General features: G+C 41.1%; 1 annotated feature.

Annotated features, from left to right (window-relative positions):
• Window positions 3,993-4,177: a silencer, noted in NCBI's record as "fragment chr12:23662216-23662400 (GRCh37/hg19 assembly coordinates)". NCBI's record gives its function as "represses an EF-1alpha promoter that drives an FKBP-Casp9 reporter gene in an ReSE screen in phorbol 12-myristate 13-acetate-treated (for megakaryocytic differentiation) K562 erythroleukemia cells {active_cell/tissue: K562(+PMA)}" and the evidence as "EXISTENCE:reporter gene assay evidence [ECO:0000049][PMID:32094911]".

Raw genomic sequence — 22,639 nt, 5'->3', positions numbered from 1 at the left:
TACCATCTGAATCCGTCCTGTGGCTTTTTTCACCAGCACATTGTTTTGTTGTTGTTGTTTTGGGGTTTTATTTTTGGGGGGTATTTTTGGGGTTTTCTTTGAGACAGAGTCTTGCTCTGTCACCCAGGCTGGAGTACAGTGGCATGATCTTGACTCACTACAACCTCTGCCTCCAGGGTTCAAGCGATTCTCCTGCTTCAGCCTCCCGAGTAGCTGGGACTACAGGCAGACGGCACCACACCTGGCTAATTTTTGTATTTTTAGTAGAGACAAGGTTTCACCATGTTGGCCAAGCTGGTCTTGAACTCCTGACCTAAGGTAATGCACCCACCGTGGCCTCCCAATGTGTTGGGATTACAGCAGGCCTGAGCCACCATGCCCGGCCACATTGTTTTGTTTTTAATCCAATTTAGAATGCCTTTAGGCTGGGCCCGCCTACTCCAGTAGGCAACATTACTACCACTCCCAGCTGTTACACCTGGCTGTTTTGTATATTTACATAAGTATCTCTCCACAGAAAGAAAGCATTTGAGTTGTAATTCTGGATATTTGTTAAGTATCATTTTAGTCATGTTGTAGGAAATGGGAGCAAAAGGAAGGAGTTTATTAATTATGGTTAGAAATGTCAAAGAAGTATTTCCTAGAAGTGAAACTTGAGTTGGGCCCTAATGGGTACATCTGAGTTTGTCACATAGAGAATGCAGGCACGGTGTTTCCCTAAGTGGAAACAAAGTGAACAGACTCATGGGCTTCTGAAAATGTATGGCAGTTTCAGAGATGTGGACTCCTCGTACATATAATATGGAAGAAGCTGTCAGGAGACCAGGCTGGGAACACACGTTAGAACCTGACTGAAAAGATACTTGGGAAATTGTTTTTAGAAACTATACAACTGTAGAATCAAAGGACATGAGTTCATGCCTCTTTTGGTGATATCAAGTTAAAACCAGGTACCGTTATTGCTCACCTGACTTTTGGTTCTTCTGAAATTGCTTTTTGTGTAGACAGTTGTTAAATTTGGTGTTCCTGTGGGGAGGATGATCAGTGGAGGCTTTTATTTGGCCATCTTGCTTCCCCCACCCCCAGTCACTGAGCTCTTAACCAGTACTTTAATTTCCTTCTCTTAGAAGAACATCATAAAAAAATCTGTATTTTATCCAGAAAATATTAAGAGATAGGAAATAATAACTTTTTAAGACTAAATGTATAACAGCTTTATTGAGATATAATTCACATACCATGAAATTCACCCATTTAAAGTTTTCATTAAATAGTTTTTATCATATTCACAGAGTTGTGCTATCATCTCCACAGTCAATTTTGTAGCATTTTTATCATACCTGAAAGACATCTGCACCCACTAGCAACCAATCTTCACTTCTCTCAACCCCCAGCCCTAGTCTACTATTAGGGCATGATTGTTTTTTAAGCTGCAGAATTATATGGCCCTATCTTTGGTTTCACTGAAGAGAGATGAACAAGGAGGTTGAAGAAGGAATCCAGGTGAGCAAGGAAATGAGCAAAACCGTGGTATGCATGAAGCTTATGGAACATGAGATGTTGGAGGAGAATTATGTGGCTTATTAAATGAGGGTGCCCTTTCCTTATTCACAGGCAAAATCTGTAATTCACAGGTAAAGATTTGACTGAAAGGCACATTCAGGAAGAAGTAGCAACACACACATCTTCATTAACCCTAAGACTCCAGCCATCCTCTATACAGCATACTATTAATCCACGGACATTTAAAAAGTAAAAAAAGTCACTAATTTAACTAAAATATGATAATTTCTTGTCACATTGATTGCAAGATGCATCTTGATTCCAAAGATGTTACAAATCTAAAAAAATTGTGCATCTTAAAATTAATCATATATAGTATTGAATGTCAGGCCTCTAAGCCCAAGCTAAGCCATCACATCCCCTGTGACCTGCATGTATACATCCAGATGGCCTGAAGTAACTGAAAAATCACAAAAGAAGTGATATTTAAATGGCCTGTTCCTGCCTTAACTGATGACATTCCACCACAAAAGAAGTGAAAATGGCCGGTCCTTGCCTTAACTGATGACATTACCTTGTGAAATTCCTTCTCCTGGCTCATCCTGGCTCAAAAAGCTCCCCCACTGAGTACCTTGTGAACCCCACTCCTGCCCAGAGAACCCCCCTTTGATTGTAATTTTCCTTTACCCACCCAAATCTTATAAAATTGTCCCACCCCATCTCCCTTTGCTGACTCTCTTTTCAGACTCAGCCCGCCTGCACCCAGGTCATTAAAAAGCTTTATTGCTCACACAAAGCCTGTTTGGTGGCCTCTTCACATGGACATGAGTGAAATTTGGTGCCCTGGGATTGGGGGACCTCCCATGGGAGATCAATCCCCTATCCTCCTGCTCTTTGTTCCATGAGAAAAATCCACCTACGACCTCGGGTCCTCACACCGACCAGCCCAAGGAACATCTCACCAATTTTAAATCGGGTAAGTGGCCTTTTTTTTACTCTCTTCTCCAACCTCTCTTACTATCCCTCAACCTCTTTCTCCTTTCAATCTTGGCGCCACACTTCAATCTCTCCCTTCTCTTAATTTCAGTCCCTTTCCTTTTCTGGTAGAGACAAAGGAGACACGTTTTATCTGTGAACCCAAAACTCTGGCTCCAGTCACGGACTCAGGAAGACAGTCTTCCCTTGGTGTTTAATCATGTGGGGACACCTGCCTGGTTATTCACCCACGTTTCAGAGGTGTCTGACCATGCGGGGACGCCTGCCCTGGTCCTTCACCCTTAGCGGCAAGTACCGCTTTTCTGGGGGATGAGGACTCCCCAACCCCTTCTCTCCATGATCTCTACCACTTCTCCGCTTTTCTGGAGGGCAAAAACCCCCCAACCCCTTCTCTCTGTGTCTCTACCCTCTCTTTTCTCTGGACTTGCCTCCTGCACTATAGGCAACCTTCCACCCTCCATTCCTCCTTCTCCCTTAGCCTATGTTCTCAAAGACTTAATACCTCTTCAACTCACACCTGACCTAAAACCTAAATGCCTTATTTTCTTCTGCAATGCTGCTTGGCCCCAACACAAACTTGACAGTTGTTCCAAATAGCCAGAAAATGGCACTTTTGATTTTTCCATCCTACAAGATCTAAATAACTCTTGTCGTAAAATGGGCTAACAGTCTGAGGTGCCTGACGTCCAGGCATTCTTTTACACTTTGGTCCCTCCCTAGTCTCTGCTCACAGTGCAACTTGTCCCAAATCTTCCTTCTTTCCCTCCCGCCTGTCCCCTCAGTCCCAACCCCAAGCGTCGCTGAGACTTTCCTCTTTCCAATCTTCCTTTTCTACAGACCCATCTGACCTCTCCCCTCCTCCCCAGGCTGCTCCTCGCCAGGCCGAGCTAGGTCCCAATTCTTCCTCAGCCTCCACTCCCCAACCTATAATCCTTTTATCACCTCCCCTACTCACACCCGGTCCGGCTTACAGTTTCCTTCCACAACTAGCCCTCCCCCACCTGCCCAGCAATTTCCTCTTAAAAAGGTGGCTGGAGCTAAAGGCATAGTCAAGGTTAATGCTCCTTTTTCTTTATCCCAAATCATATAGCGTTTAGGCTCTTTTTCATCAAATAAAAAACCCAGCCCAGTTCATGGCTCATTTGGCAGCAACCCTGAGACGCTTTACAGCCCTAGACCCTAAAAGGTCAAAAGGCCGTCTTATTCTCAATATACATTTTATTACCCAATCCGCTCCGGACATTAAATAAAACTCCAAAAATTAAATTCCAGCCCTCAAACCCCACAACAAGACTTAATTAACCTCACCTTCAAGGTGTACAATTAATAAAGTAGAGGCAGCCAAGTAGCAATGTATTTCTGAGTTGCAATTCCTTGCCTCCACCGTGAGACAAACCCCAGCCATATCTCCAGCACACAAGAACTCCAAACGCCTGAACCACAGCTGCCGGGGTTCCTCCAGAACCTCCTCCCCCAGGAGCTTGCTACAAGTGCCGGAAATCTGGCCACTGGGCCAAGGAATGCCCACAGACCAGGATTCCTTCTAAGCCGTGTCCCATCTGTGCAGGACCCCACTGAAAATCGGACTGTTCAACTGACCTGGCAGCCACTTTCAGAGCCCCTGGAACTCTGGCCCAAGGCTGTCTGACTGACTCCTTCCCAGATCTTCTCGGCTTAGCAGCTGAAGACCGACACTACTCGATTGCCTCGGAAGCCTACAAGACCAACACAAATGCTCTGGGTAACTCACAGTGGAGGGTAAGTCTGTCCCCTTCTTAATCAATACGGAGGCTACCCACTCCACATTACCTTCTTTTCAAGGGCCTGTTTCCCTTGCCTCCATAACTGTTGTGGGTATTGACGGCCAGGCTTCTAAACCTCTTAAAACTCCCCAACCCTGGTGCCAACTTAGACAATACTCTTTTAAGCACTCCTTTTTAGTTATCCCCACCTGCCCAGTTCCCTTGTTAGGCTGAGACACTTAAACTAAATTATCTGCTTCCCTGACTATTCCTGGGCTACAGCCACACCTCATTGCTGCCTTTTCCCCCAGTTCAAAGCCTCCTTCACATCCTCCCCTTGTATCTCCCCACCTTAACCCACAAGTATAGGACACCTCTACTCCCTCCTTAGTGAACGATCATGCACCCCTTACCATCCCATTAAAACCTAATCACTCTTACCCCGCTCAATGCCAATATCCCATCCCACAGCACGCTTTAAAAGGATTAAAGTCTGTTACCACTCGCCTGCTACAGCAGTTTAAAGCCTATAAACTCCCCTTACAATTCCCCCATTTTGCCTGTTCTAAAACCAGACAAGGCTTACAGGTTAGTTCAGGATCTGCGCCTTATCAACCAAATTGTTTCACCTATCCACCCCGTGGTGCCAAACCCATATACTCTCCTATCCTCAATACCTCCCTCCACAACCCATTATTCTGTTCTGGATCTCAAACATGCTTTCTTTACTATTCCTTTGCACCCTTCATTCCAGCCTCTCTTCCCTTTCACTTGGACTGACCCTGACACCCATTAGGCTCAGCAAATTACCTGGGCTGTACTGCCACAAGGCTTCACAGACAGCCCCAATTACTTCAGTCAAGCCCAAAGTTCTTCCTCATCTGTTACCTATCTCGGAATAATTCTCATAAAGACACACGTGCTCTCCCTGCCAATCGTGTCCATCTGATCTCTCAAACCCCAGCACCTTCTACAGAACAACAACTCCTTTTCTTCCTAGGCATGGTTTGACTTTAGATACCTGGTTTTGCCATTCTAACAAAACCATTATATAAACTCACAAAAGGGAACTTAGCTGACCCCATAGATCCTAAATCCTTTCCCCACTCCTCTTTCTGTTCCTTGAAGACAGCTTTAGAGACTGCCCCCACTCTAGCTCTCCCTGACTCATCCCAACCCTTTTCATTACCCACAGCAGAAGTGCAGGGCTGTGCAGTCGGAATTCTTACACAAGAACTGGGACCGCGCCCTGTAGCCTTTTTATGTGAACAACTTGACCTTACTGTTTTGCCTAGCCCTCAAGTCTGAGTGTGGTGGCTGCCACCGCCCTAATAATTTTAGAGGCCCTTAAAATCACAAACTATGCTCAACTCACTTTCTACAGTTCTTATAACTTCCAAAGTCTATTTTCTTCCTCACACCTGACACATATACTTTCTGCTCCCCGGCTCCTTCAGCCATACTCTTTGTTGAGTCTCCCACAATTACCATTGTTTCTGGCCCAGACTTCAGTCTGGCCTTCCACATTATTCCTGATACCACACCTGACCCCCATGACTGAATCTCTCTGATCCACCTGACATTCACCCATTTCCCCATATTTCCTTCTTTCCTGTTCCTCACCCTGATCACACTTGGTTTATTGATGGCAGTTCCACCAGGCCTAATCACCACACACAAGCAAAGGCAGGCTATGCTATAGTACAAGCCACTAGCTCACCTCTTAGAATCTCTCATTTCCTTTCCATCGTGGAAATCTATCAAGGAAATAACTTCTCAGTGTTCCATCTGCTATTCTACTACTCCTCAGGAATTATTCAGGCGTCCTCCCTTCCCTACACATCAAGCTCAGGGATTTGCCCCTGCCTAGGACTGGCAAACTGGCTTTACTCAACATGCCCCGAGTCAGGAAACTAAAATACCTCTTGGTCTGGGTAGACACTTTCACTGGATAGGTAGAGGCCTTTCCCACAGTGTCTAAGAAGGCCACCACGGTAATTTCTTCCCTTCTGTCAGATATAATTCCTCGGTTTGGCCTTCCCACCTCTATACAGTCCTATAACAGACCGGCCTTTATTAGTCAAATCACCCAAGCAGTTTCTCAGGGTCTTAGTATTCAGTGAACTAATGGTCTTTGAAAAACACACCTCATCAAGCTCAGCCCCCAACTTAAAAAGGACTGGACAATACTTTTACCACCTGCCCTTCTCAGAATTCAGGCCTGTCCTCGGAATGCTACAGGGTACAGCCCATTTAAGCTCCTGTATAGGCGCTCCTTTTTATTAGGCCCCTGTCTCATTCCAGACACCAGACCAACTTCGACTGCGCCTCAAAAAACTTGTCATCCCTACTATCTTCTGTCTAGTCATACTCCTATCCACCGTTCTCAACTACTCATAAATGCCCTGCTCTTATTTACACTGCCAGTTTACACTGTTTCTCCAAGCCATCACAGCTGATATCTCCTGGTGCTATCCCCAAACCACCCTTCTTAAAGTAAATAAATAAATTTCCTCTTAAAGTAAATAAATAATCTTTGCTGGCAAGGCTATGCTGAACCTCCTTAGGCACTCTCTAATTAGATGTCCTGGGTCCTCCCAATTCTTAGTCCTTTAATACCTGTTTTTCTCCTTCTCTTATTCTGTTTAGTTTTTCAGTTCATACAAAACCATATCCAGGCCATCACCAATAATTCTACACGACAAATGTTTCTTCTAACAACCCCACAATATCACCCCTTACCACAAAATCTTCCTTCAGCTTAATCTCTCCCACTCTAGGTTCCCACGCTGCCCCTAATCCCGCTCAAAGCAGCCCTGAGAAACATCGCCCATTATCTCTCCATGCCACCCCCCAAAAAGTTTTTTTCACTGCCCCAACATTTCAATACTATTTTATGTTATTTTTCTTATTAATATAAGAAGGCAGGAATGTCAGGCCTCTGAGCCCAAGCTAAGCCATCGCATCCCCTGTGACCTGCACGTATACATCCAGAGGGCCTGAAGTAACTGAAGAATCACAAAAGAAGTGATATTTAAATGGCCTGTTCCTGCCTTAACTGATAACATTCCACCACAAAAGAAGTGAAAATGGCCGGTCCTTGCCTTAACTGATGACATTAGCTTGTGAAATTCCTTCTCCTGGCTCATCCTGGCTCAAAAATCTCCCCCACTGAGCACCTTGTGACCCCCACTCCTGCCCACCAGAGAACAACCCCCCTTTGACTGTAACTTCCCTTTACCTACCCAAATCTTATAAAATGGCCCCACCCCTATCTCCCTTTGCTGACTCTCTTTTCAGATTCAGCCTGCCTGCCCCCAGGTGATTAAAAAGCTTTATTGCTCACACAAAGCCTGTTTGGTGGTCTCTTCACAGGGACATGAGTGAAATTGAATAATACTAGTGATAGTATTTCTAACAGAGAATTATAAGTAGTGTTCTGACATAGTTCTTCTTAAAACACATCATTTATTTTATGAGGTTGATATCATGAAGTATTTTAAATAAGTTCCAAACACAAATCACATATTCCATTTACTTAATCTAAAAGTATATTTGTAAGAAAAGAAAAAAAAACTTCTCAAATATTTACTTTTGAGCAATTTATAACTGACCATTGTGATTGAAAATGCTCAAGTTTTCTACTGTAAAGTAAAAAGTATCTGAAACAGGTATCAATCAATTTAGAAGTTTATTTTGCCAAGGTTATGGATCATGACCCATGACACAGCCTCAGGGAGTTCTGAGAACAGGAGACCAAGGTGGTTGGGTTACAACTTGATTTTATACATTTTAGGGAGATAGAAGTTACAGGCAAAGACATAAATCAATACATGTAAGGTGTACATTGGTTCAGCCTGGAAAGATGGGACATCAGGAAGTGGGAGCTTCCAGGTCATAGACGGATGTAAAGATTTCCTGATTGGAAGTTGATTGAAAGGGTTATGCTCTCCCTGAAGAGTTGAAGTCAGTTTTAGTTAAGGTAAGGGGCAGGATAGTGGAAGTCATGGGTCTTGTCATGTAGATGAAGCCTCCAGGTAGCTGGCTTCAAAGAGAATAGATGTGAGTGTGTCTTATCAAATGTGTCAGACCCCAGAGAGACCTAATAAGGAAAGGGGATTCTCTACAGAATGCAAATTTCCCCAACAAGAGACAGCTTTGCAGAACCATTTCAAAGTATGTCAAAGAAATATATTTTGGAGTAAAATACTTTGATTTCCTTTTAGGGTCTATTTTCTGTCTTGTGATGTTACATCAGAGTCAGGTTGGAGTTAGTATCTTATTGCTATGAACAGTCTGTTCTGCCAGTCTTAGGATCTCTATAGTACGTTAATACTGGTCAGCTGTGCTTGAACTCCAAAGGGAGGAGAGTATAATGAGGCATGTCCCACCCCACATTCCCATCATGGCCTGAACTAGTTTTTCAGGTTTCTTTGGGTCCCCGTGGCCAAGAAGAGGTTTCATTCAGTCCGTTGGTAAGGCCTGACTCTGATATAACATCACATTACAGAAAACAGACCCTGGAATTTTATTTTTGCTTTACACTATATTTGTGCTGTTACAGCTTCCAACAGAGATCTGAGGCACCAACAAAAGCACAGGCACAAGACAAAATATCTTTTGAAATTAAGAATAATATCAGGACTCCTAGTTCCCCAAAGCCATAGTAACACTTTAAAAACTACCAGTTAGCAATATAGCTACCATATGTGGAATAAATGGTTTGTTCCCTGGCTGGTACACTTGTCTCTGACCCGTTTTTGACATATTTCTATTTGTTGGAATCTACTTAATTTCCATTGCTTCATTTCCACTTTGCTTATTTTTCCTGTGTCCCCATCTGTTTCTAGATATAGGCAACAAAATTTACCATGACCACATGTCCGTGAGTTCTACTTGCTCTCCCAGTGCTACCATTGGAACACGTGTGGGCTGGTACCTCAGGGCTTTCTCTTCCTTCCAGAGCAGACTGTCTGCAGGGAGATGGATCCACTACTGCCTCCTCCTGGTGCATGTGATCTCCCTGCACTCTTGTGTGGGCCTAGTCTTTTCTCAAACAGATTTCATAAGCCCCCTCCCTCCAGGCTAGTTCCAGTCTCTTTTCTTGTCCCTTTCCAAGGTCTTCATATTATGAACTAAGTAATGGAGAATTCTTTTGTCCCCATAACAAGCTTCAGGAAAAAGAAATTGCCCAAGTGGCTCTGGCATTTTTGTTCTCCCCTTCCTTCTATTCCTGTACTTCCTCTACCTTCTGTTCTGCTCCTGGTTTTTCTGAATGCATGAATTCTTCCCTTGCTTTTATTTATTTTTTTGTACCTTATATATAGCCTTTGCTGTTTTATCACATTTTCTTTGTGGGCTTTCCTCTCAAATTAGAATATCCCTTTGCGCTTCTTCTCTCCTCCTGCAAACAGTATGGAATAAGAAAGACTAGTCCGGGCTTTGAGGGCTTCCAGCTGTGCCTTGACTTAGATAATGGCAACAGGAGGTTTGAATTCACATTAGTGTTATCTTCTAAAAGACTAACTAGAGCTTACTGAACACTGCAAAGTATACCCCAATCATAATACAGTCCCCTTGTGAGAACATACTCACTCTTGTGTCTGGGTATTAATGCTGTGAAGCTCTTTTTGTCATGTCTTTTCAACAAATCTCCACCAAGTGGGTAAATGTGTGTTTAAGACCAGGTGGCCAGGCTATATCTAATGGTGGACACCAGCCCGTGTAAATCTGATTGAGTTGATGGAAGCAACGGTGGAGTTTCCTCAAACACCTGGATGTCGACCACTTAGCTTGTTGTTCATTAATGATTGACACCATATCACTAAAAATTATTTTACTCAGTACTTTGGAAGGAAAGAATTAACTGACTAAAATCCCAGCAATAATATAAGTGAGTCTTCAGCAGTTCTACTAACAACAAGCTTAAAAAACATAAGCCATGCCTATCCATTGTTAATAAATGCATTGTGTCCTAGAACTGGGTCCCTGACTTTTACGTCTCAATTTATTCATGGCTTATTCACACCAGGTGCTTTTGCAATTCCTCTCCTTTTCTCCACTGCTGACTCCTGTTAGTTCTCAGCTCTTCCTGCTTCTCCCACAGTAGAGGCAGTCAGTGCCCGCCCGTCCTCTACCTGCATTACCCGGTGCTGGGCTTGTCGTCTCGGGTGCTCCTTCCCATGGCTGTCTTATGCATCCACAGAGTAAGTTCAGCTTTACTTTGGTTAAAAAAAAACCTGTGTGCTTTCCCTATAATAATGACATGTATTAAGGGACAGGGCACTAGAAACACAGGTTTGGTTTTTGTCACTTGTTTGATGTCGGGTGCAATGGACACAGAGAGAGAAGGCAAACTATGTGTCCTCTAGGAGCTTACAGTCTAGTGTTCGCATGGAGGCAGACACATGTTCATTATTATAATGGAATAGGACCAGCCATGACTGTTTATTCCACAAAGCTTGCACAAGATTTCTGTGCATTTCTGGAGGCTTCAGGTATCATCTTGGTGACTTTCAATTCTTACTTCCACAGGTCTCTTATCTGACTCTCATGTCACTTCTCACAGCTATTTCCTTCTTGCTCCAAGTTGACAGTGTTGAATCTTGCCTGATCCCTACGTTCCTGGAGAAGAGTAGTTTCTGAAACGCTTTGTGTTTCAGAAAATGGCTTACCGCAAAGAATTACCCTTCCCCAAATGATTTAGATAAGATTCAAGGATGTCTGCCCTGTTTTCCTATGATAAGGCCAGATGCAGTCTTTCAAATTTCCATTCTTCACCTCCTAAATAGTTAGCTGAACTGCTTGTCTCACTCAGAACAAAATACTGGTTTATCAAATTTTGGTTAAGCTTCTCTCCTTCCCTCAGGCCCTGAACATTGACTCACCCTCAGTTTGAGCCAGCTTATAGCCCCTTCTAAGAGTAGCCTGGCCTGATGGTCAAACATGCCTGGATCTACTAGTTCACCAGGCTACCCTTCCATACCACTTCCCCCACACCTGGTTCTTTCTAGCCTTGTTTATTTCTCGCTATAAAAGAAAACTCTTTGGCGGGGTGTGGTGGCTCACGCCTGTAATCCCAGCATTTTGGGAGGCTGAGGTGGGAGGATCATCTGAGGTCAGGAGTTTGAGAACATCCTGGCCAACATGGCAAAACCCCATCTCTACTAAAAATACAAAACTTAGCCAGGTGTGGTGGCACACTTCTGTAGTCCCAGCTACTTGGGAGGCTGAGGCAGGAGAATCACTGGAACTCAGGAGGTGGAGGTTGCAGTGAGCCAAGATCGTGCCATTGCACTCCAGCCTGAGTGACAGAGCAAAACTCTGTCTCAAAAAAAAAAATAAAATAGGAAACATCTTTTTGCCTAATCCCAGAGATTCTTGCAGATTCGATGGTCAGAGAGTTCTCTCTATTGTAATTGTCCCCCTTGAAACCCCAAACTCCCTTCTTGCCATGTCCTTTAGAATGTAGTCTTTTCCTGCTAAATCTGGATTTGTTTTTTATTTGACAAAAATAAATTCAGAAATGAAATGTAATTTTTTTCCTTTTCATTTCCATTCTACAAGACATTGATGGATACATGGTAGGTTTTTCTGAAAGTTTAAGAAGACAGAGTATACAACTTGCAGCCACACAACTAAATTAAAATGCCAATTATGCTTCTGAGAATGCCTTCTGGCCTTGACAATTTGGGGCTCCAGCTTGAATGCTCTGATTTCTTGATTCTCTTCTCATTCTTTCATACTCAAAACCCTTTGCATTTCTTAAGTCTAAATAGAGTTCTTTATTTTGTTGTTGCCTTTCATCTCCTGCCCTCTAAGCTACCTATCTCCACATACTTAGCACTTTTTTTTTTAAGCAAAAAAAAGAAGAAAGCCAGTTCTTTCCCTAAAAATAAACTATCCACTGGAGATAGGCACCAGACATTATGATACTCAGAGAAGGGACAGCTCAGCTGTAAGTGGACATGGCTGGACTAGGTGGATCTGGAGCTACTCTGCAACTCACTAGCTTTAGGATCTTGCTCAAGTCACATCTCTGTTCTCTTCTTTGTTTGTTTTCTGTTGGGTGTTAAATTGTTAGATGGCTTCAAATATCTCTTCCAACGCTAAGGTTCTACAGCTTATTGAACGTTAATACAATGTGTCCAAAACAGGAAGAAATGTCTTGAATAACAATGGTGTAAAAACAAGTTAGTAGAGGAGAGGAGAAAAATCTCCATGGCAGACACGCTGACAAGGAGGTGTGCTACAAACAGTATTATATAGAAGAGCATGGGGTGAAAAGGGAACACTTCTACACTGTTGGTGGGAATGTAAACTAGTACAACCAGTATGTAAAACAGTATGGCGGTTCCTTAAGGAACTAAAAGTAGAACTACAATTCAATCCAGCAATCCCACTACTGGCTATCTACCCAAAGGAAAAGAAGTCATTATATGAAAAAGACACGCATATGTATGTTTATAGCAGCACAATTAAAAATTGTAAAAATATGGAACCAACCTAAATGCCCATCAACCAATGAGTGGATAAAGAAAATGTGATGTGATATATATATATATGCCATGGAATACTACTCAGCCATAAAATTGAGTGAAATAATGGCCTTTGCAGCAACTTGGATGGAGCCAGAGGCCATTATTCTAAGGGAAGTAACTCGGGAATGGAAAACCAAATATTGTATGTTCTCATCACTTACACATGGGAGCTAAGCTATAAGGCTGCAAAGGCATAAGAATGATATAATGGAGGCCGGGTGCAGTGGCTTATGCCTGTAATCCTAGCACTTTGGGGGCTGAGGTGGGCAGATCATGAGATCAGGAGTTCGAGACCAGCCTGACCAATAGCTTGAACCTGGGAGGCTGAGGTTGTGGTGAGCCAAGATCGCACCACTGCACTCTAGCTTGGGCGACAGAGCGAGACTCTGTCTCAAAAAAAAAAAAAAAAAAAAAAAAAAAAAAAAAATATATATATATATATATAGTGGAGTTTGGGGATGGCAGGAGAAGGTTGGGAGGGAAGTAAAGGTGAGATGACATATTGTGTACATTTGTACACTGCGGGGGTGATGGGTGCACCAGAATCTCAGAAATAACCACCAGAGAGCTTATCCATGTAATCAAAAGCTACCTATACCCCCAAAACTATTAAAATAAATTAAAAACAATAAAAAATAAAGAGCATGGGATTTGGGGACAGAACAGTTTGGATTCAAAATCTGATACTACTTCTAGTCACTAAGCAACTTCAGGCAAGTTAATGAGTCTCTAAGCTGAAGTTCTAACAGGTAATGGTAATACTCAGTTTTTTGGTAAAGATTCAAGGTAAGAGTAATGACATCATTTTCGATAATTTTGCTATAGTTCTCTGCTTAAATATTTTTCATACATTCTCTTCTGCCTTTCCTTCTTTGTAGTAGAAGTTATTCATTTGTGTCACTTTGCAGGCTGTGCATACTTTAAAAATATTATTTAAAACACAATATTATTTTGCAAATGTTTTGCTAATTGGACTGTGAACTTTTTTTGAGATGGAGTCTCACTCCACCACCCAGGCTGGAGTGCAGTGGTGTGATCCCGACTCACTGCAACCTCCACCTCCCAGGCTGAAGTGGTCCTCCAACCTCAGCCTCCCAAGTAGCTGGGACTACAGAGGCATGGCATGCCACCACACCCAGCTAATTTATTGTATTTTGTGTAGAGACAGGATTTCACCATGTTGTCCAGGCTGATCTTGAACCCCTGAGCTCAAGAGATCCACCCGCCTCAACCTCCCCATGTGCTGAGATTACAGGCATGAGCCACCATGCCCGGCCTGAACTGTAAATTTCTTTGAGGGAAGGGAGTGTATCCTTTTTGGTGACATATTCTCAGTGGCTAAGATAGTACATGACACTTGCCAATAACTTTGGAGAAAAAATAATAAAGGATACATGGATGATGGACATGGAGATTTCACTAATGATTCTTGTTCATAGTTTCATACAAATGAATCTTCCATTCTCATCTGCAAAAGCAATTGCTTGAAAAGCTAACTTAAGGTCAGGCTTGGTGGCTCATGGGAACTCGAGATCAGCCTTGGTAACACAAAGAGAACCTGTCTCTACAAAAAATAAATTAGCAGCGTGGTGGTACATGCCTTGTAGTCTCAGCTACTCAGGAGGCTGGGGTGGGAGGATTACTTGAGCCTGGGAAGTTGAGGCTGCAGTGAGCCATGATCTGCACTCCAGGCTGGATGACAAAGTGAGATTTTCCCTCAAAAAAAAAGTTAAAATACTAAGGATTTCAATAATGTAACCACATGACAGTTTCATCTTGCTAGCTGCCCAGATAGAGCTGATTTGTCAGGACAGTGGAATTGCAATAGAGAAGGATTTTATTACATGTAAAGGAGGCTAAATGAGAGACTGGAGTTTTATTATTACTAAAACCAGCCTCCTAAAAAATTCAGAGGCTGGGGTGTTTTAAAGATAGTTTGGCAGGCAGGGAGAGGTTAGGGAATGGGAAATGCTGATTGACTGGGTTGAGGATGAAATTGTATGGGGTCAAAGCTGGTTTGTCTTGCTGTCTTCTGTTCCCGGGTGAGATTGCAGAACTAGTTACGCCAGATTACCAGTCTGGGTGGTTCTAGCTATTCCATCAGACTACAAGGTCTGAAAAACACCTCAAACATCAATCTTAGGTTTTATAACAGTGATGTTATGTATAGGAGCAATTGGGGAGCTTAGGAATCTTGAGGTCTCTGGCAGTTATAACTCCTAAACAAGAATTTCTAATCTTGTGGCCAATTGTTAGCTTTATAGAGGTGGTCTGGCCCTTAGGCCAGGAGGGTTTTGCTTTGAGGAGGGGCTGTTATTATCTCTGTCTCAAAGGTAAACTTTAAGCTGACTTCTTCCCAGAGTTAGCTTGGCCTACACCCAGGAATGAACAAGGACAGCTTGGAGATTAGAAGCCAGATGGAATCTGTTAGGTTAGATTTCTTTCACTGTCACAAATTTCCTATGTCAGATTTTTCTTACTATCATAATTTTTGCACAGGTGGTCTCAATGACATCAGTGAGATTGTTACTAAATTTTAAAGAGTGATAATCTTACTGTATTGACAGTCCGTAAACTTGTCCCCAGAGCTGGGCTAACTACATCTCAGCCTTGGGGCCTTGATTCTATTGATGTTTTAGAAGTCATTCTTATTAAATTCATTAATCTATCTGAGTAAACAATTTGTTATACATTCCTTGATCTTTGCTCGTAGTTTTGAGAGCAAGCTCTAACTCTTAATTTTCTGAAAACCTAAATTGAACAATTAAGACACAAGTTTATCAGTTTAACAAAAACACAAAAACCCCTAAAACCTGCTCCCAGAAACTGTGCCTTTATAGCATTCATAATGTATGTATTTTCTTACTTAAAGAAGAATCAAAGAGGAGGCGTATTGGAACTGCCACTTTTCCTGGGCATCTCTTAAGAATGTGTTCTGTTTCTGAAATTTCAGAAAATACTTTCTGGCTTTCTCTCTTTTATGAGTGAAGAGGACAACTTATGAATGGGTTGGTTTTGAGAGCAAGTTTGCAAATTTTTAGACCTTAGTTATTGTTCAACCTCAGTTTCCAAATTCCACCTGAAAGGAACACTGGGGAAATGAAGTAGAAGTGATTTTAATTCTCAAAGGTTCTTTTGTCTCTTTCCTGATAGAAAGTGAAGTTCTATGTAGGAGGTGGGTAGTACCATCGTAACCTACTTTATTCTGCCTGAATAAGGAAGGTCAATATATTATCCTATCAGGGAGGGGGAAATTGCATAGACAAGTCCTCGAATGACAATAAAGATGTCCTTGACAGCATGTTGAAAACAGTGGTAAAAGTTTCTTTTTTTTCCCGAAAAAAAAAAGTCAGTGTTTAAATGACAGATGAAGGTAAATGATGGACAAAATGCATTATTCTTAAAGCATCTCCCAGTTTTCTGAAAGAACTGTTACATTTGAATACTGAATGCAAATGGTTTTAATAATAATATATCAGTTTATCAATAAGATAACAGAGCTGTTCTTTGAAGCAATGTTTTCAAAATTTCTTGTAGTGCTAGCTTTGTTGCCCAGTATCTAGTGCCTTAAAAACAACTGAGAAAAAAGAAAACTCTTCCTTTATTTTAATATAGGATTTTTAATTTATTTTATTGTATTACAGTTTGCAGTTTATAGCCTTTAACTTCAGGAATAACAAATGATGGAGGTTTTCAAAATGTTAATGACTATCCTCTTAAAGAGTTTAGCTAAATGGAAACTGCATTCATTTGAGCCAATAATCTATTGGCAGCTTAGGAATTCTTATCATTTGCGGTTGCTCTGCAAATTACCAAAATGATAGCACAACCGGGCCTGACTTGATTTAGACTAGCATGGTTCCACCTGCTAAGTCATCATTCCACTTCTCTTATATCAGAATGGACTTAACCCAACAAAGAGATTTAGGAAATAAATATCAATTTAAGATGTCATAATCTTCTAATTTAATAATCCAAAAATGACTGTATGGATGAACACCAATTAAAAAACACACCTAGGCCGGACACGGTGGCTCACGCTTGTAATTCCACCACTTTGGGAGGCCGAGGTGGATGTATCAAGAGTTCAGGAGTTCATGGCCAAGATGGTGAAACCCTGTCTCTACTAAAAGTACAAAAATTAGCCAGGCATGGTGGCATGCGCCTGTAATCCCAGCTACTTGGGAGGCTGAGGCAGAGAATGGCTTAAACTAAGGAGGCGGAGGTTGCAGTGAGCTGAGATCATGCCACTGCACTCCAGCCTGGGTCACAGAACGAGACTCTGTCTCAAAAAAAAAAAAAAAAAAACAAACCAAAACAACATAAACACCTATATATTTATTTCTGCTTTTAAAAGTAATGTGCTAAGAATGTTGTCAGTATAAAATAGGAATAATATTAGGAAATGGTCATGGTGGAGTTTTTAACCCCTGGAGACTTACTTCTACACATGACATTTTATGAAATTGAGAATATAATAAATATAATATTTCCCTTTTAGTTTAAAATCTTAACATTCTATTTAGACACATAGATAATTTTCAGTTTTTGCTTTATAAATAATATTGTGAACATTTATGTATATAAGCCTTTGTTTTTTTTTTCTTAAAGGTGTAAGTAAAACAACATGTTTAAAAAATTTCAGGCTACATTTCTTTCCATAAAATGCACAAATTTACATCTCTGTTGCTTGTAATCGATTTTGTACTATACCCACATTAAGGCAATTGAATTCCTACCCTAAGCCTCCACTCAGTTTGCCTCAGAAAAGATTTTTCTTGTTTTGAAAGTAAAGAGTTTAGAATCTCCATTGAAAGAATGGGTGACTTCCATTTATGATAAAGGACTCCTCTGCAACCCAATTCATAAGTCTGACTCAAGCAAAGACCCCATTTCTGCTTGGGAAATCCTCGAAGACAGAAATAGCAAAACAAAGTGGAGAGAGTAGAGACAGACTAGGGTTGAATGCCCAGTTTTATTACCAGCTGTACATATGACTCAGGGTATGTTTGTCAGTCTTTACATCTATAAAATGATGTCATTGAACTGGACAATCTTATAACTGTAAGTTATAAACTTATAACCACTTTCAAAAAATTTTTATGGATCACCTTTTTGAAGCCCTCTGGTGACCACCTTAGCCAGCATTAAATTCTCCCTTTTCTCATCTCCAATGGTAACTTATCGCCCAAGAGCCTTGATCAACATAGGCACTAGAGAGAACAATTCTTATATTACTATAACTAATATAATTCTTATATTACTCATGGGGTTTTAAAATTATTTAATAAATATCACCTTACCCATGAAATAACTGATAATTTGGCTTGGAAATAATAAATCTGTTCCTTTTGAAAATAACAAATATAACCCAAATCCTTTCTGTAAAAAGGAAAAAAGATAAGTAATATGTAGTAACTCATCAATTTTATAAAAACTACTTAGCTGTTTTAAATACAGCTTTAGGTAATCTCTTACATGCTTAAGCGTTGTTAGAACTGTTAATGTTTTACTCCATATTCTGAGAAATTCAGAATTATTATCATTATTTTAATTAAAAATACATTAAAACATTGAATGACATTTAGAACTTTAACCCAAGACACCCAACAAGTTTAAACTCTACCAATTCTTTATAAACAATGAGTTTTGAATAAGTAACACACCTACTTGGTTAAGGTTTGCACTTTCTGGAGGAAAGCATGATTGGAGCTGCTGTTTATTGGTTTGTTCAATTTAAAATATCTTTTTGCAAGATCCTTATAATTCTCAGCAGAAAAGAAAGCGCAACCTCCTTCACTCTAAAGACCCTGCTGGGAATAATTCCAGCTTTTGTCCCCCAACCTTCACTTGATTCCCATCATAAGTTAAAGGAATTTTCAACCTTGTATTATGAAGAGTCTTCTTAAGTTATAGCTAGAAGGATGAGCATCATCTTGGTAATAAACAGGTCAGAGGCAGCTGGTGGAGAAGGGTTACACAGCCTCAGCTGGCCCTGTTACTGCACCTCAGTTGACTTTTAGGGAATGCTCAAGACCATAGACATCTTTATGAAAATGAAATTTGTGAAGTTCAATTGAGAACACTTTCCTGCAAGGAACCTCCCAACTATTTCCTTTTTTCATTTCTTTTGCTGTGAGCTGTTTATGTAGTTTGATATATTTACATGTCTAACGAAGGTGCAGATCAAAATTTAAACATATAAACTTTTTTAGGAGCAGTTAATGGGCTACCATGTGAGAAAATAGCAGTATTTTAAAAGTCCAAATGTTTCATAGTAACAGTGCTGACAATTTATTGGCATTACTGTCTTCCATGTCCTAAGATAACAGAAAGTATAGCAGAAGAAAAATCTTAAAAAGGAATGAAACTTTGGATGTAATGACTTTGACAACAACAAAACAACAAAAAACAAACAAAACCCTATAATCAAAACTATATGAGACAATAGCTTACTTTTGTTACTGAGCAATAAATAGGCTTGCTCTCCAATGTACCTGAAAGCCAATACCAAGGCTCTGACTTTTGAGAAAAGAAAAGATTTATTGTAAGTCCACTGGCAAGGAGTCAGGAGGAAACAATCAAATCTGTCTCCCCAGGCTGGGAGCTAGGTCAGGTTTTATAGGCAGAGGAGGGTAATGAGGCGTGATGTGATTGGATCTTACAATGAGGTGATGCCAGGAGGCATAATCTGACTGGATCCTGCCATAGGGTAATGCCACAGTTCAATCTGATTGGATCATGGATCCTGTCATGTGAGGTCCACTTCTTAATTCAGTCCCCAGTCCTTGGTCTGACACTTAGATTCCACCTGTGGTTGTGAACTTGGTTCATCTGGGCATGCTCTGTTTACATGACCTTCAGCCTGCTGGTCTAGGGCAATTGACTCACAACTTTGTTATGTAAAAGTTGAGCCAGACTGGTCTGCTGTGTCTACACTCTGAAATACAAAAAGAAATAAAATAAAATGGATTGAGGGATGTATAGATGCATAGATATGTGAAAAATCCAGTATAGTAAAGTATTAAAGGTAGAACCTAGATGGTAGGGATAGAGATTTTCATGTAATGTTCTTTCAGCATTATTATATGTTGCAAATATTAATGATAAAACATTGGTGAAAATAAACTATGAAAGACAAAGGAAATAAAGTTATAAACATAAAAAATGAGATATTTTATTGAAAATGTAAAGATAAGTCTGGGTGCGGTGGCTCACACCTGTAATCCCAGCTCTTTGTGAGGCCAAGGTAGGTGGATCACCTGAGGTTAGGAGTTTGAGACTAGTCTGGCCAACATGTTGAAACCCCGTCTCTACTAAAAATACAAAAGTTAGCCTGGTGTGGTTGTGGGCACCTGTAATCCCAGCTACTCGGGAGGCTGAGGCCAGAGAATTGCTTGAAACCAAAAGGTGGAGGTTGCAGTGAGCCGAGATCGCACCACTGCACTCCAGCTTGGGTGACAGAGCAAGACCTTATCTCAGAAAAAAAAAAGAAAAAGAAAAAGAAAAAAAGAAAACGTAAAGATAAAAGAGAAAAAAATGCAAAGCAAATAATCAAATATAATAATGAAGGATTGGCACTGGAAGTAACATATCATAAAGGTTAAGAATATGCTCTGGAATCGGGCTGTCTTGGTTTGAGTATTATTCCTGCCACAGGCATGCAGTGCCATTTAGTCAAATTACTTAATCTCTGTGTCTCAGCTTCCTCATCTGGAAATGAGGCTCATGACCAATACCTACTCCACAGCTTGCTGTAAGTATTAAATGAGTCTATATAAAAAGGGCTTAGAACAGTTATGGCATCTAGCACGCAAACTTTAAAGGGTAATTATTATGAGACACGTGTTTTTTAAAAAAAAGAGGCATAAAAGGCGGGGCATGGTGGTTTACGCCTGTAATCCCAGCACTTTGGGAGGCCGAGGCGGGCGGATCACGAGGTCAGGAGATCGAGACCATCCTGGCTAACATGGTGAAACTCCGTCTCTACTAAAAATGCAAAAAATTAGCCTGGCGTGGTGGCAGGCACCTGTAGTCCCAGCTACTCGGGAGGCTGAGGCAGGAGAATGGCATGAACCAGGGAGGCGGAGCTTGCAGTGAGCCGAGATCATGCCACTGCACTCCAGCCTGGGCAATAGAGCAAGACTCTGTCTCAAAAAAAAAAAAAAAAAAAAAAAGGTATAAAATAGAAGAGGTTAACATGAAATAGATTAAGAACGAGTGATTAAAGGCAGAACTCATTTATCCATTAATGTATTCATGCTATAAACATTTATAAACCCTTCTAAGTTTCAGACACTGTAAATATAAAAAGAAATGGTCATTTCTGACCTTAAAGAATATGCTGTCCAAAAAGGAGATGACAAACATGGCAATGTAAATATGGAATATGATTATTAGGACCACAATAGAAGTATGTTCAGATTATGAAGGGGGCCCCAAGGAGGCAATGGTCATTTCAACTATCTGGGATGAAGAAAGGATTCATGAAAGAGGATATATTTTAAAATATTTAAAAGCAGAGATCTAAAAGAATAAAACAACAAAATACCATGAATAATATAAAATATTATTAGCAATTAAAGAGACAATGAGATTGAGAAATAAAACCAAATATATTTTAAAACAAATTTGAAGAAGCCACAATTCAAATTCAAAACATTAAGAGGTTTAAAGACTAGGTTTAGCATTAGGCAAAAGTAATCAAAAGTCTTCAGATGAACTTGCTTTTTGTCCAGCAGACTTTATTTACAGTTGTGCTTCCAGATTTTATGGCTCCATTCTTACATATCAGAAGAGCAGTATCAGGCCAGGCACATTGGCTCACACCTGTAATTCCAGCACTTTGGGAGGCTGAAGTGGGCAGATCACTTAAGCTCAGGAGTTCTAGACAAGCCTGGACAACATGGAGAAACCACATCTCTACTAAAAATACCAAAAAAAAAAAAAAAAAGGCCAATCATGGTGGTATACACTGGTGGTCCCAGCTACTGGAGGGTGAGGTGGGAGGATAATCTGAGCCCATGAGGTCGAGGCTATAGTGAGCCAAGATAATGCCACTGCACTCCAGCCTGGGTGACAGGAGTGAGACCCTGTCTCAAAAAAAAAAAAAAAAGAAGAGCACTCTCTCTGATCTCTTTTTTGATGCCTCCCACCATTGGCTTTCCCCATAGACAGGGGCTTCTCCTGTTTGTACCTGTGGCAGCAAAATTTTCAATCAGTATAAACTCCCCCAGCCCCTTCTCAGCTGACACAACCTGCAGACAGGCAAAGTATGGGCTATGTATTAGTCTATTTTCATGCTGCTAATAAAGACATACCTGAGACTGGGTAATTTATAAAGGAAAGTGGTTTAATGGATTCACAGTTCCACATGGCTGGGGAGGTCCCACAATCATGGTGTAAGGCAAAGGAGAAGCAAAGGCACATTTTACATGGCAGCAGGCAAGAGAGCATGTGCAGGGGAACTTCCCTTTACAAAACCATCAGACCTCGTGGGGCTTATTCACTGTCAGGAAGACAACATGGGAAAGACCCACCCCCATGATTCAATTACCTCCCACCAGGTCTCTCCCACGACGTGTGGGAATTATGGGAGCTGTAATTCAAGATGAGATTTGGGTGGGGACACAGCCAAACCATATCAGGGTCCTTCCCATGAAAACAAATGGCCCCTTCAGAATCTCTTATACACAATCTCTTTTTTATCTTTTTTACAACTTCGTAAGGAAAATAATGCAGGCGTTTTTATGGCCAATTTTTTTTTAAGATGAGTGTGACAGACACATTCTAGCGCAGCTGTCCTGATTCCACCTCCTGGTGTTCATGCCCATGTGTGATTCTCCTCCTCTGGAGTGT

This window comes from Homo sapiens, chromosome 12 (genome assembly GCF_000001405.40).
Source record: "Homo sapiens chromosome 12, GRCh38.p14 Primary Assembly".
NCBI classification, from domain to species: domain Eukaryota; kingdom Metazoa; phylum Chordata; class Mammalia; order Primates; family Hominidae; genus Homo; species Homo sapiens.
The sequence above is the reverse complement of the archived record's forward strand: the minus strand, read 5'-3'. Positions and strand labels throughout refer to the sequence as shown.